The sequence below is a fragment of the Homo sapiens genome, chromosome 7 (assembly GCF_000001405.40).
Source record: "Homo sapiens chromosome 7, GRCh38.p14 Primary Assembly".
NCBI lineage: Eukaryota > Metazoa > Chordata > Mammalia > Primates > Hominidae > Homo > Homo sapiens.
The window spans coordinates 27294689-27308503 of NC_000007.14; the positions used below are offsets into that span (position 1 = coordinate 27294689).

Sequence of the window (13815 nt, forward strand, 5' to 3'; positions counted from 1 at the left end):
GGGTGTTAAAGTCTCCCATTATTATTGTGTGGGAGTCTAAGTCTCTTTGTAGGTGAGACAAACATTCTAACCTCCCAGAGCTACCTCTCCTAATTATATGGCAAAGAGCTATGGAGACTTCAGGGTCATCTCAAGGTCATTATTGTCCAACAGGGGTCTGTTGGCTGCCTGGAGACCTCTCTGGGTCTTGGGAGAAAAAGAGAAGAGGCTGGATTTTGACTCCTTAACCATAGAATGTTCCAGAGTCCCTTTGCCGCCTTATGACTCAGGCAGTCATGACTTCTTCATGACTTCAACATTTAGGTAGGTTCAAGGCACATCTTGCTGGAACAGGGGTAGCTGTCCTCTGAAATGATTGTGGGGCTGTTGGTTCATATGGACCCGTATATGCACTTTAATCCCCCTTTCCCTCCCCATCCAGTCATAGTTGGTGACCCAAACTGTGTGTTCAGACACTTGAGTTTGCCACTTTATTTTATTCAATCTTGTCCACTAATCTTGAACTCACTAATTTTAGGGCCTGGGAAATTTCTGACTTCTTCATACATGAAATTTAGGATGAGATTAGTGAAGTAAAAATGGACATTTTGGCAGGTATTTTCTCTTTCAGGTGAGATAAAAACATCTTCGTATATTCCTCCTCTTCCCCAAATTGAGCATCTGTTTATGTGTGACTGGGCAGTTTGCCCTCCTCTATTAAAGTTGAAGCTATTTCCTGGTTAATTATTTCCTCTCTTAATTTGGCAAACATGTGTGGCATGCTGCTGTGTGCATGGTGCAGACTGTCATGAAAGACATAAGCAGGGCCAGTGAACTGCCCTGCCCTGGGCTATTGGAGAAGTAGCTCATTTCATGGGAAGTTTATTAATGTAAGTGCTGAACAACAATTCAAGGCAGCATTAAGGGAGGTATAACCAGGCTTGTAAGATCACGATATTCTCCTGAAGGAGATGGGGCTTGACCTGAGTCTTGAAGGATGGCAGAGAGTAGGCAAGGAGGACATCTCAAGTGGGGGAACTGGTGTAAGCTAAGGAATGAGGTTAATGAATGCAGTGTGTGTGTGTGTGTGTGTGTGTGTGTGTGTGTGTGTGTGTGTGTGTGTGTGTTTAAAGAGAGGAAGGCAATAAGACTAGACAGAAAGGTAAACCAGGAACAGATCATGGGAGATCTGGAATTCTATGTGTACTTAAATCTTGATCCAATAGATCATGGACATTATTAGAGAGCTTATTAATAGGTTGAGGGAAGAAATCTGACACCTGTAAAGCACCCATGATGTGCCAAGCTCTGTGCTTGGTCTTTTACTTACATAAATAATTTCATCTCAAAATTATCTCTCCAGGAAGCATCTTCATTTTTCAGCTTTAAGAAATGTTTTTATTATGGACTATTATGTGCCTCTTGATAAAAGTACAAAAATCACCCATAAAGTATTCTTGCCAAAAATAGAGCTTCTATGGCGTCAAGTCTCTAAATACTACCAATAGGTTACAGGCCAGCAGAGAACAGAGGAGCATGTTAAATGATACATGAAATACAAAAATACAATCCAGAATCCCAGAAAGTACAGGATGAAAACAATAAAAAAGATTAAGAAAATTGGAAAATTACAAACATATACAAAAAAAGAGAAAATAGTATAATAAACTCTCCATGTATCCATCACTTAGCTTCAGCAATTGTCAACTTATGGCCAATCTTGTTTCATTGATATCCCCTTTATCATCCCTCCAGTAATTACTTTGAAGGAAATCCCAGTTGTCACATCTCTTCAACCACAAATATTTCAATGTATGTCTTTAAAAGATAAAGACTCTTAAAAAAAATAACTACAGTGGGAAGCCGGGCACAGCGGCTCACGCTTGTGATCCCAGCAGTTTGGGAGGGCGAGGCGGGCAGATCACAAGGTCAGGAGTTCGAGACTAGCCTGACCAACATAGTGAAACCCCATCTCTACTAAAAATATAAAAATTAGCCAGGTGCGGTGGCATGTACCTGTAATCCCAGCTACTCAGGAGCCTGAGGCAGGAGAGTCGCTTGAACCCAGAAGGTGGAGGGTGCAGTGAGCCGAGATTGCGCCACTGCACTCCAGCCTGGTTGACAGACCGAGACTGTGTCTTAGAAAAAAAAAAACCACAGTACTATTATTGTTGCTGAATTAATAATAATTCCTTAATATCTATGTCATCAAATATCCAGCCATTGTTCACATTCGCTTGATTGTCACATATATTAAAAACAAATAATTTCTTTTGTTTCAATCACAATCCAAATAAAGCGTATACATTGAAAGTGGTTGTTATGTCTCTTAAGTCCCTTTTAATTGAAAAGCTCCTCCTCCGTTTCCTTTTTTCCCTTGGAGATTATTTGTTGAAGAAACTAGGATCCGTCCTGAGTGTTTGCACATTCTGAAGTTGGCTGATGCATGCCCTTCTTTAGTGCAATGTGTTTCCCTCCCCTTTGTTTTCCTGTAAACTGGTAGTGCTGGCTGTTTACAAGGGCTCGATCACATTCCAAGTCCATCTTTTGGTGACAATACTTAGAGGTCGTGATGTATATTTTCATGAGGAGGCACAAAATGGCTGGTTGTCTCTCGTTTTGTAGTTTATCTAATTTAAGCAACTCTGTAGCCAGGAAGTGGAGGAGCACTGAGAAGTTGACACTGAGGTCTCTGGTTCCAAACCTGCGCTCCAGCCGTCTCCTCCCATCGCCCTCTGAGATTAATCTGGCCGGGAGGACGGAAAGGGTCCATGGGGATGGAAGCTGGGAGCAGGGAGACGAATCCATCTCCACATTGATGTTCTGGACACTCCACTGGGCTCCAGCAGGCAGCGGTTGCAGTGATCCAGGAAGGCAGCAACAAGGGTGACCGCAGGGACTGTCATCTCTCTGAGGAGGAAGGTGCAAACCACAGGTCATATTTTGGTTCCTGTAATTATATTCAAAGGAGTCCCAGGTACCTGGTTATGCAGAAACCTCTAGGTTTTGGTGATTTTTGAATGCTCACCTGAACTCTTGGGGATAACAGAGGAATCAGAATTATGCAGAACTGTTAACAGAGAATTTTGGTGACTTTAAAAATGCTTTATTTCTTTGTACTGCACCTTTTGGATTTTTGGAAAATTTTGGAAAAGATGGAAAAATTTTTCTTCTTAAATTGTATAGGCTTACTGTTGTTTCAGATAACAGCATCACATGCTTATTAAGACACACACATACACACATACACACACCCTCCATCTCAGAAATGCTTACCATAAAAATCCTACCTGACAGATAAAGTGTGGAAGAAAATCTGCTAAACTGTTACCTCTAGTTATCTCTGGTAGTTGTGTGGGGAGGGGATCACAGGAGCTGACATTTAGTGCTAACTCTTGTGTTTGAACTTGTTTGAGCATGTAGTCTATTTGTCATTGGGAACTCCCCACCCAAAACCCAACCAATTTGGATGTGATGAAAAGTAATCATAATAAAATGGCGCCATATTAGACATGGTTTTACAAATTGCTTTTTAATTTAACACTATATCTAGGGAGGTGGAGTTATTATTGTATAGGCAGTTATGGTAGTTCTTTTTTTTTTTTTTTTTTTTTTGAGATGGAGTCTTGTACTGTCGCTTGGGCTGGAGTGCAGTGGCGCGATCTCAGCTCACTGCAACCTCTGCCTCCCAGGTTCAAGCGATTCTCTTTGCCTTAGTCTCCCAAGTAGCTGGTTTTATACCACGCCCGGCTATTTTTTTTTTTTTTTTTTGCGACGGAGTCTCTGTCACCCAAGCTGGAGTACGGTGGCGTGATCTCGGTTCACTGCAACCTCCACCTCCTGGGTTCAAGCAATTCTCCTGCCTCAGCCTCCTGAGTAGCTGGGACTACGGGCGCGTGCCACCATGCCCAGCTAATTTTTTTTTTTAGTAGAGACAGGGTTTGGGGTTTCACCATGTTAGCCAGGATGGTCTCAATATCCTGACCTCGTGATCTGCCCACGTCGACCTCCCAAAGTGCTGGGATTACAGGTGTGAGCCACCACACCTGGCCAACACTTGGCTAATTTTTTTGTACTGTTAGTAGAGATGGAGTTTCACTATGTTGGCCAGGCTTGTCTCAAACTTCTGACCTCATGATCCGCCCACTTCGGCCTCCCAAAGTGCTGGGATTGCAGGTATAAGCCACTGTGCCCGGCCTATAGTAGTTCTTATAACTATAGTTACTATGTAGGCATTGCTCAGAAATTGTAATCATGGAGGTAAAAAAATCGAAGGCATACTTCTTATTAATTGATCAGTGGTAGGCTTATGTAATTTATTAGTACAAATAATTGGTATGCTGCTTCGTTCTGGGAATCCAGAAGATCCAAGTCTTAATCCTGTTTTAAATTTGTTCTGCCTCCATCCTCTGCCTGGATTTGGCCGGCGTGCAGTCCAGGAAGCCCTGCAGCCAGTGGACTTTCTCAGGAAACCTCTTTCCATCATGGGCAAAGTGCTTGGCAGTGGTTCTCTTTCTTCTTTTCATCTTTTGCTCCCATAGACTACAAGACAGAATCTTCTTTCCAAATAACTTTTTTAAAAACTCCCCCATAGGATGTCAAGGTGAGACATTGTGACAAACCTATTTGACTTATTAATCATGTGCCAAGTGCTCAGGGCCAGAAGTGAACACTGTGGTTCAAGCAAAAGTAAAAAGCAGAGTCCCTGTCCTGAAGTTTCTAAATATATATTTTCCTAAATAACCCAGTGCTGAGCAGAAGCTGTCTTAACTTTGGTGGTACTTCTGGGGACTGAGTTCATCTCCCCTCTCTGAATTGCCAGGTTGTGGGATGAGTTCGGAAGTGAGGCTGCAGCCAGGGATTGAGCATTGGGTTTCTGCATGCATCTGCACATTTCCTCAAATGCAGTCCACAGGCCACAGTGCAATTAAACACCCAAACTGCCAAGTTGAGTTTCTGAATCCAGTACATCTCCCTAGGCCTGACTTGCATATTAAAGACATCCACTAACGCATACTATCAATGTATAATCTGTTTACCTGTCATATGTACCCCTCTGAAGTATATTTCATTTTTAAATGATTGTATTTTAAAGACCAGAAATAATAGATATGGAGCTTAGAGTATAATTATCAAAAAGCTTACGAATAATTAGCAAAACAAAAGCCACCCCAGAAACTGAATTCATGCAAGCATATTTCTGCCAGCTTGGGTTTTAGATGAACACATTATCTGCAATCCTTTTCTCAAATGGAGTGCCATTTACAGATATCTGCCAAGCCTCCTCAGAACAAACAAGCCCCTAGAATCAGAGTTAGCATATAAAGTGTGGGTTGACAGGGCAACAATCTTTTCCCCAGGGCTCTCTTTTATCAGTGGCCCTGACCAAAGAATAGAACCCAGTGTTTTATGTTTCAAGTGTACCATATGGCATGATATGAGTGCACTTTAATGACTTATTAGCATATTCTTCCAACTAAGCTTTCCTAGTTAAACCAGCTTGACAAAAGCTGAATTTTAAAATATTTGCATGAAACCTCCCGGAATAAACATGGCTCGGTCATTGGTTTGCTTTCGCTTGTAGATAAAAAAGAAGCCACTGATCCTTCATGACAAGACTCATGAAAAACATTGAGTTGGCCACCTCTTCTCTACCCCTCAGGAGCTGAAGATTTTTGGAATGTCTGCAGCATTATTTAGACATTTTCTCTCCCCATGGCATGAAGACTCCCCACTCTGCCTAGATTCCGTGCTTTACATAATGCTTATTCTGCCTTCTGTGACCTTGATCCTTCCTTTGTGGGAATGAGATTTTCTGGCTGAGATCTAGTCACCTGCCTGACTCATGAAAAAGCCTTTTAGCCTTTGGAGGAGGACAAGGCACCAGATCAGGGCTTGGGACTTCTCACTGTGGCTTGGTTAGGAGTGATATGAACCGGGGGTGAGTCATGTTTCCCTTGAGACTGCCCAAATTTTCTCTGTGAAAATAAGGCCTGCTAGGAGGAAGGCGGACAGGATGGAGACATCCTCGTTACCTAAACAGAGGAAGCCAGCCTCTCTGTCTACTATTGCATGTGCTGTAGTGGTTTTTTTTTTTTTCTTTTCAGATTTGGCTAAGTGTCCCTTTTCTCTCTTTCTCAAGTCAGTTCTTGATACTTTTTGTAGATCAGATTGCTCTTAGTAGAGGTTACCAGTGACCACATATGATGAAGGTGACCATCCTTGGTGACCCTACAATAAGGCTTCCTTGTCATCTCTAGTGCAACCACAATAATATGGGTATGTGAATACTGATTTTTCTTTAGAAAACCTATTTTATGGCAAACACTGACAGAAACCCCTTCTCCATAGTTATTTTCCAGTTAGAGTAGCCATGTGACACTGTTATGACCATAACATAAGTGGAAGTCTGTTGGACACAGTTTCTGGGAAAACTTTTGTTTTTCTGGTAAAAACAGACAAATCCAGCTGGCCTGTGCCTTGCCTTTACTTCTATCTTCTTGTGTGGAATGTAGATGAAATGGCTTGAGGTGCTGCAGCCATCTTGTAATCATGAAATGACAAGCAATTGAATAGAAGCCAACACACCAAATAAATTAAAAAAATACATTTCATATGTTAAGGCACTATTCTTCAGGTTTTGTGCAATCCCACTTTGTGGATTAGGAAACTGAAGTGAGAGTGGTTGAGTGACTTGCTCAAGATCAAACAAGTCCTCTGACTTTAAGCACTGTGCTTTTTCTATGTATTTTGTTAACAAGTCAGAGTCGATACTTTTTACTGTTATTGTGTTCTTACTAAATGCCAGAGTCTATGCTAATCTTTTTATATTCATTACTTTATTTAACCTTTACAAAAGCCCTGTGAAGTAGTGCTATTAACTGAATTCTGTGGCCCCAAGATTCATATGTTGAAGCCCTAACCTCCAGTGTGACTGTATTTGGAGAAAGGGCCTTTAAGAGGTGACTAAGGTTAAATGACATCATAAGGGTGGGACAATAATTTAATAGAATTAGTGTCCTTATAAGAAGAGACACCAGAGAACACCTTCTCCAACCCCTACCATATGAGTTGGCCATCTACAAGCCAGGAAGAGGTTCCTCTCCAGAACCTGAATTGGCCATCACCTTAATCTTGCATTTCCCAGTCTCCAAAACTGTGATAAATCGATTTCTGTTGTTTAAGCCACCCAGTCTGTGGTATTTTGTTACAGCAGCCCGAGCAGACTAAGAGAAGTAGATACTATTATTATGTCCCTTTTACAAATGAGGAAAATGAAGCTTAGAAAAGTTAAGTATTCTCAAGGCCACACAGCTAGTAAGTGGTACTTTTCCTTTCTTCAAGAGACAACATCCTTGTGGCCAATATGTGGTCAGTCCTGTTAATATGTGTATACCAGATTATTTCAATTTTTTAAAGTAGTAAAATAATACTTCAGAACAGTGGTTAGTAAATTTTTTCTGAAAAGAACTAGCTAGAAAATAGTTCAGGTTGGCCGGGCACAGTGGCTCATGCCTGTAATACCAGCAGTTTAGGAGGCTGAGGTGGGTGGACCACCAGAGGTCAGGAGTTTGAGACCAGCCTGGCCAACATGGTGAAACCCCATTTCTACTAAAAATACAAAAATTAGCCAGGCCTGGTGGCATACTCCTATAATACTAGCTACTCAGGAGGCTGAGGCTGGAGAATCGCTTGAACCCAGGGGGCAGAGATTGTAGTGAGCCGAGATTACACCATTGCACTCCAGTCTGGGCGATAAGAGCAAAACTCTGTTTCTCAACAACAACAACAACAAAAAGAAAATAGTTCAGGTTTTGTGGACCATATGGTCTCTGTTGGAACTACTCAATTCTGCACTGTGAAGGCAGCCATGGACAATTCGAGAGTGAATGGGCATGGCCATACTCAGATAAAGCTTTACTTGCAAAATCAGGTAGTGAGCTGGATTTGGCTCATGCCCAGGTCATGGTTTGCTGATTATTGCTTTAAAGCAATGTTAAAATGGCAATGCTTTTAAAATGAGACGTGCTGGGTTTGAATTCTGCTGTGTGACTTTGGGTAGATTCTATAACCTGGGCCTCATTTTCCAAGTTAGAATGGTAACACCTCTGCCAGCCACCAGGGTTGTCGTTGGGATCATGAAAGGTACTAGATGTGGAGGAGCTCTGAAGAAGAGCAAGTGCTTATGCAGATACAATTTGATATGGGTATAATTTGATATCTTTCAGAGTGCTCCTGGAAGCCCTAACCCAGGCAGAACATACTTAGTTTAAAGCCTGGACTCAGCTGAGACTGATATGGGTCACTCAGGGAAGGAAACTCCTCCTTGTACCGGGGGTCTTCAGTGCCCATCAGGCTATAACCTTCAGTGAGATGTGGAGTGGAGCCAGCCCTTGGGTGGATTCCAGGATCCCTGGCTCCCCGGTGGAGAGCTCTCTTCGGCTTTGAGCCTGCATCTTCAGTGCCGGAGCTATTTTTCTGAGCTAGGGAGGGCACCATGGGGAGTGATACTCCTGGTAAGGAAGAAACAGGGCAGCCTGCATCTCTGCTGAACACAAGTCTAAACATGAACAAGGATTCTGGCTGCTTGCCCATGCCGCATGAAACCAGGCTGAGGGCGTTAAGGAGAAGTCAGACAAATGTCTGCCCTTCCTTTCATTCTTTTTGCTTTTGCTCTTTGAAAGTATCTTTTTTTTTTTTTGAGACAGAGTCTCACTCTGTTGTCCAGGCTGGAGTGCAGTGGTGTGATCTTGGCTCACTGCAACCTCTGCCTCCTGGGTTCAAGCAATTCTCCTGCCTCAGCCTCGTGAGTAGCTGGGATTACAGGCACACACCACCACACCCAGCTAATTTTTGTATTTTTAGTAGAGACGGGGTTTCACCATATTGGCCAGGCTGGTCTTGAACTCTTGACCTCAAGAGATCCACCTGCCTCGGCCTCCCAAAGTACTGGGATTACAGGCATAAGCCACTGCGCCCAGCCTTATTTATTTCTTAAAGTGAGATTATCTATGCAGTTGCTGGCCTCTGAGAAATGTTTTGGTCTCTGAGAATTTTAGAAAGCCAACTTCTTGAAAAAATGGAGAAGAAAGAAAGGAAGAAAACCCTTAAAAACATGTTTTACTTATGACATGGATGTATTTAGAGGACATTATGCTAAGTAACATAAGCCAGGAGCAGAAAGACAAATACTATGTAATCTCACTTACATGTGGAGTCTAAAAAAGTCAAACTCAGAAGTAGAGAGGCGGATGGTGGTTACCAGAGGCTGAGCATGGGGAGGATGTGGAAACGGGAGAGGTTAGTCAAAGGGTACAAAGTGCCAGTTAGACAGGAGAAATGAGTTCTAGTGATCTATTGCACAGCATGGTGACTATAGTTGATAATAATAATGTATTGTGACTGGACACAGTGGCTCTCACCTATAATCCTGGCACTTTTGGAGGCCAAGGCAAGAAGATCACTTGAGCCTAGGAGATCAAGAGCAGCCTGGGAGACATAGGAATACCCTGTCTCTACATAAAATAAAAGTAAAAAATCAACTGGCTGTGGTGTCATGTGTCTGTAGCCCCAGCTACTTGAGAGGTTGAGGTGGGAGGATTGCCTGAGTCCAGGAGTTTGAGACCAGCCTGGGCGACATAGTGAGATCCTGTCTCTACAAAAAATTTTAAAAATTAGCTGGACATGAGCCAGTGGTCCCAGCTACTTGGGAGGCTGAGGGTGGAGGATTGCTTGAGCTTGGGAGGTTGAGGCTGTAGTGAGTTGTAATTGTGCCACTGCACTCCAGCTTGGGTAACAGAGTGAGACCCTGTCACAAAAGCAAACCAACAAAATAAAAATAATAATATATCGTGTATTTCAAAATTGATAAAGAGTAGATTTTAAATGTTCTCACTACAAAGAAAGGGTAAGTATGTGAGGTGATAAGTATGTTAATTAGCCTGATTTAGTCATTCTACAGTGTATACATGTATCATAATATCACATTGTACCTCATAAATATAAAAATTATTATTTATCAGTTTGAAAAGAAATTTTAGGCCAGGCATGGTGGTTCACACCTATAATTCCAGCACTTTGTGAGGCCGAGGCTGGAGGACTGCTTGAGCCCAGAGTTCAAGACCAGCATGGGCAACACAGTGAGGCCCCCATCTCAAACAAAAAAAAAAAAGAAAGAAAGAAAAGAAATTTTAAAAACTTAAACAAAACAAAACAAGTCTTAGGGAGCCAGAAAGGGCTTCTTTAAATCTGTTCTTCTTTTGAGTTGTAGAAACTTGTTAGCATGGCATTCACAGGCTGATCTGTTAAACTTTCTCTCCCACCACGTTCCCAGTCTGCCCATGTCCAGTTGTCCTGGGTTTCTTGGTCCTGACTGTATCATGTGGTTTTGGTGTGTGCCTTTGCTTCCAGTTCCACTTCTTAGAATGTTCTTCCATTTTCACCTTCCCTCCTTGGACACATACACTTCCCTCCTGCCAACTTTATTTGGGCAACTCTTCCATTGCCTCTGAACAAGGGCTCCAAAGGGAAATCTTCTCAGGCCCCCACCCCCCAAGCAGCAGAACCATTTCCTCCTCTACTCTCTCTCCTCCATGCTTCAGGTTCATCGTTAGTTTAAGCCTGAGGTTGTATTGTCTTATTCATCTCTGTTTTCTTCCGGGCTTCTTATACACAGTAGGTACTTAAATACCCAGTGAATGGGAATAAAAGCAGCCAGAAGTAGTTGACATCAACAACCTTGGAGTGAGGAGACTGACTCTCATCTCTCTGTTGAACATGAAACAAGTACTTTATGTGTGAAGAAGGGCTTTGTAAACTGTCATCTGCCACTCATCTTCAAGGCCATTCTCTTTTAGAAGGAGTTGTGTTGATGGCCTTCATGTTGCTTGCCTTTAATTCCTACTTGTATGTTTCCTAAAGACATAGATCTCATGAGATGAAGTAGTGATTTGAGAACAAATCAGTGCCAGCTTTGCTCTTTTATGTCCAAAGAGAACGGACTCTTCTCTGAGATCCAGGGGATTTTATTTCTGGCTCTGTCCTCTATTTTCATGTTCTAGCCTATGACCAAGGCCTGTTTAGCAGCATGTCAGAATGAAGAGGGTCTGATCTCTGAAACCTGATCCTGACTGGCCACATCTCTAGCTCCAGAACACCTATACTGAAATTTCTGGAACCCTCCTCCCAACAGTTACCCTGTCAGAACCTCAGTCGGCTGCATGTCATCATCTTCATAGCCTTCTTTTCTATGGTCGCAAAATCAAGGGACAGCAATGCCAGCAAATCCTGAAGCTTAATGTGGCTAATTAACTCACATATGCCACAGACAGGAGCCTGCACTATTTATGGCACCAAGAAGTGAGAAAATGTCCCCTACCATGGGTATCAGGTAACTAACACAGTTCTGCCAAAGTTTGGTTGTGAAACACGAAGCCTCTGAAACCCGTTGGTGTTAAGTGCGCACCAAATATTCAATCCAGACATGTCGTGCTTGAACTATTCTGGGGCTCATAAACCTTTCATCAGAATCAGAGGTGAAATATTTGGCCTTATTTGTAAGTCCCATATTTCTAAAGACCTTGGGGGCTCATTTAGTATTCCCAGCAGAAGGTCACAAGGTTGGTTTTCAGGGATCCTGGTTTAGTGGAACTGATGATTTTAAGCAGGAGATACTTTCTTGATTTTCCAGAAACCAGTACCTCACTCCTCCTGCACAATTGCCTGCTCTGTCTCCTTCCCTCCCCCTAACAGCACCCCCTAAAAACCCCTAAACACAAGCACTGTTGTATATGTGGCTGTACAGAGCCCTTATGTTTTCTGACCAAAACACTCAAATTTTTATTTAATAATAATATTAGGGAAGGAGCCTACTCTTTTTAGGCAAACTGTATTATGAAAGGCTTTTTTTCCCCATCAAAAATTAATGGAAGGGGGTGACAATTTCATAGCAACATGAAATCTAAGTGTTACAAGGGTCCTTTGAAATCATCTAGTCCACTCTTCATTTTACAGAGGAAGCCACTGAGATCCAGGTGGGGTGACCGGCCCAGGAGCTCACAGTCGGGACTTGGCTCTACTAGGTCTCAAGCAAGTTACCTGATGATTCATTGCCTCAGTTTCCTCACAGAGATTCTAAGGATTGGATGAGATAATTCATCCAAAAATAATTAGCACAGTGCCTGGCACAGAATGAATATTAGCCACTGATTTACTGATATTACTATTATTTCCCAGATCGTTTGTTGCTAAGTTTCACTCTTCATTGCACCTGGCTCTGTCCTTATGTCACCAACAGTATGCTCAAATCTGGACCTCAGAAGCTGCCTTATAATGGGAGGGTATGATGTATTTTTGGGGGATGTGATGATCTTATTTTTCCATATATTCAAAGCCTCCAGAGGTTTAGAAACCTCATGAACAAATTATCCCAACAGGTTGCTCCTAGGTTCCAATTATCACATAAGTTAAAAGCCAAATTTTTAAAACAGAGTTGAAAATGTTTCCCTTATAAACCAGCTGCATACTTAAGATCACAGAGATTCTGTCTTGATGCTCAGTTTCTGTTAGAGATGTTTGAACAACCCGGGGCCATTATCTGCAAGTGTTATCTTCTCATTTACTGACTTCACTGCCTGTAATGTCCTTTCCTGAGACAGCCTTCCTTGAAGGTGGTGGCACTCCATCAGGCCCCTGGGGATGTCTGTGCTTTCTCTCAGGGAACGTCACTGTCCAACACATCAGCCCTCTTTGGGCCTCTCTTAGGAAATCTGCTGTTTGCTGTCTCCTCCAGGAAGGAGGTGGGCAGGAAGGAGCTCTTGACTTGGCTCACAGCTGTCTAACAAGAATAGCTAATGCTTCCTGAGCACGTATTATGTGCCAGGCTTTGCTTTAAGTATTTTACATTTATTTTCTCCTTGAATCTTCATAGCAATCCCATGAGTTAGGTATTATCAGTAGTTTCATTTTGCAGATGGAGAAATTGAGGCACCCAGAAGTTAAATACCTACTAAAGAGACAGGGTGCCCTCCCAGGGGTTCAAGCCAGGTTCCAACTCCCAGAGCTATGCCCTGCAGTGAACAACACTGTCTCATCCACAAATTGTGTGTCTGCTCCTGGGCAAAACAACCAGGTGTTCATTCAAAACAGAGTTCAAACCTGGCCCAACCTCACAGATCCTGGTTGATGTCATATTACAGACAATTACAGACATAATTAGCCCCCATTCCCACCTCTTCACAATTTATTCCCTCCTGCCCCGCTCACCTTAGGTAGCTGCTGCCATGGGGCCTAGGATGTATATTTCCCTTGAATATTTCTGTATTTTAACTACAAATGCATGTACCTGCATATAATATATAGAATTATTTGGGGGTGTTTATGTGTTATATGGTACATAAATGGTACTATACTCAATGGGTTGTTTTACAACTTAAAAAAATTAAACATTATATGTATTTTTTCTTTTTTTTATTATTATTATACTTTAAGTTTTAGGGTACATGTGCACAATGTGCAGGTTAGTTACATATGTATACATGTGCCATGCTGGTGCACTGCACCCATTAACTCGTCATTTAGCATTAGGTATATCTCCTAAACTATCCCTCCCACCTCCCCCCATCCCACAACAGTCCCCAGAGTGTGATGTTCCCCTTCCTGTGTCCATGTGTTCTCATTGTTCAATTCCCACCTATGAGTGAGAATATGCGGTGTTTGGTTTTTTGTTCTCGTGATAGTTTACTGAGAATGATGATTTCCAATTTCATCCATGTCCCTACCAAGGACATGAACTTATCCTTTTTTATGGCTGCATAGTATTCCATGGTGTATCTGTGC

At 42.3% G+C, this 13815-nt stretch overlaps 1 annotated feature.

The window, feature by feature from the left end:
- Positions 611 to 840: a silencer, noted in NCBI's record as "fragment chr7:27334918-27335147 (GRCh37/hg19 assembly coordinates)". NCBI's record gives its function as "represses an EF-1alpha promoter that drives an FKBP-Casp9 reporter gene in an ReSE screen in phorbol 12-myristate 13-acetate-treated (for megakaryocytic differentiation) K562 erythroleukemia cells {active_cell/tissue: K562(+PMA)}" and the evidence as "EXISTENCE:reporter gene assay evidence [ECO:0000049][PMID:32094911]".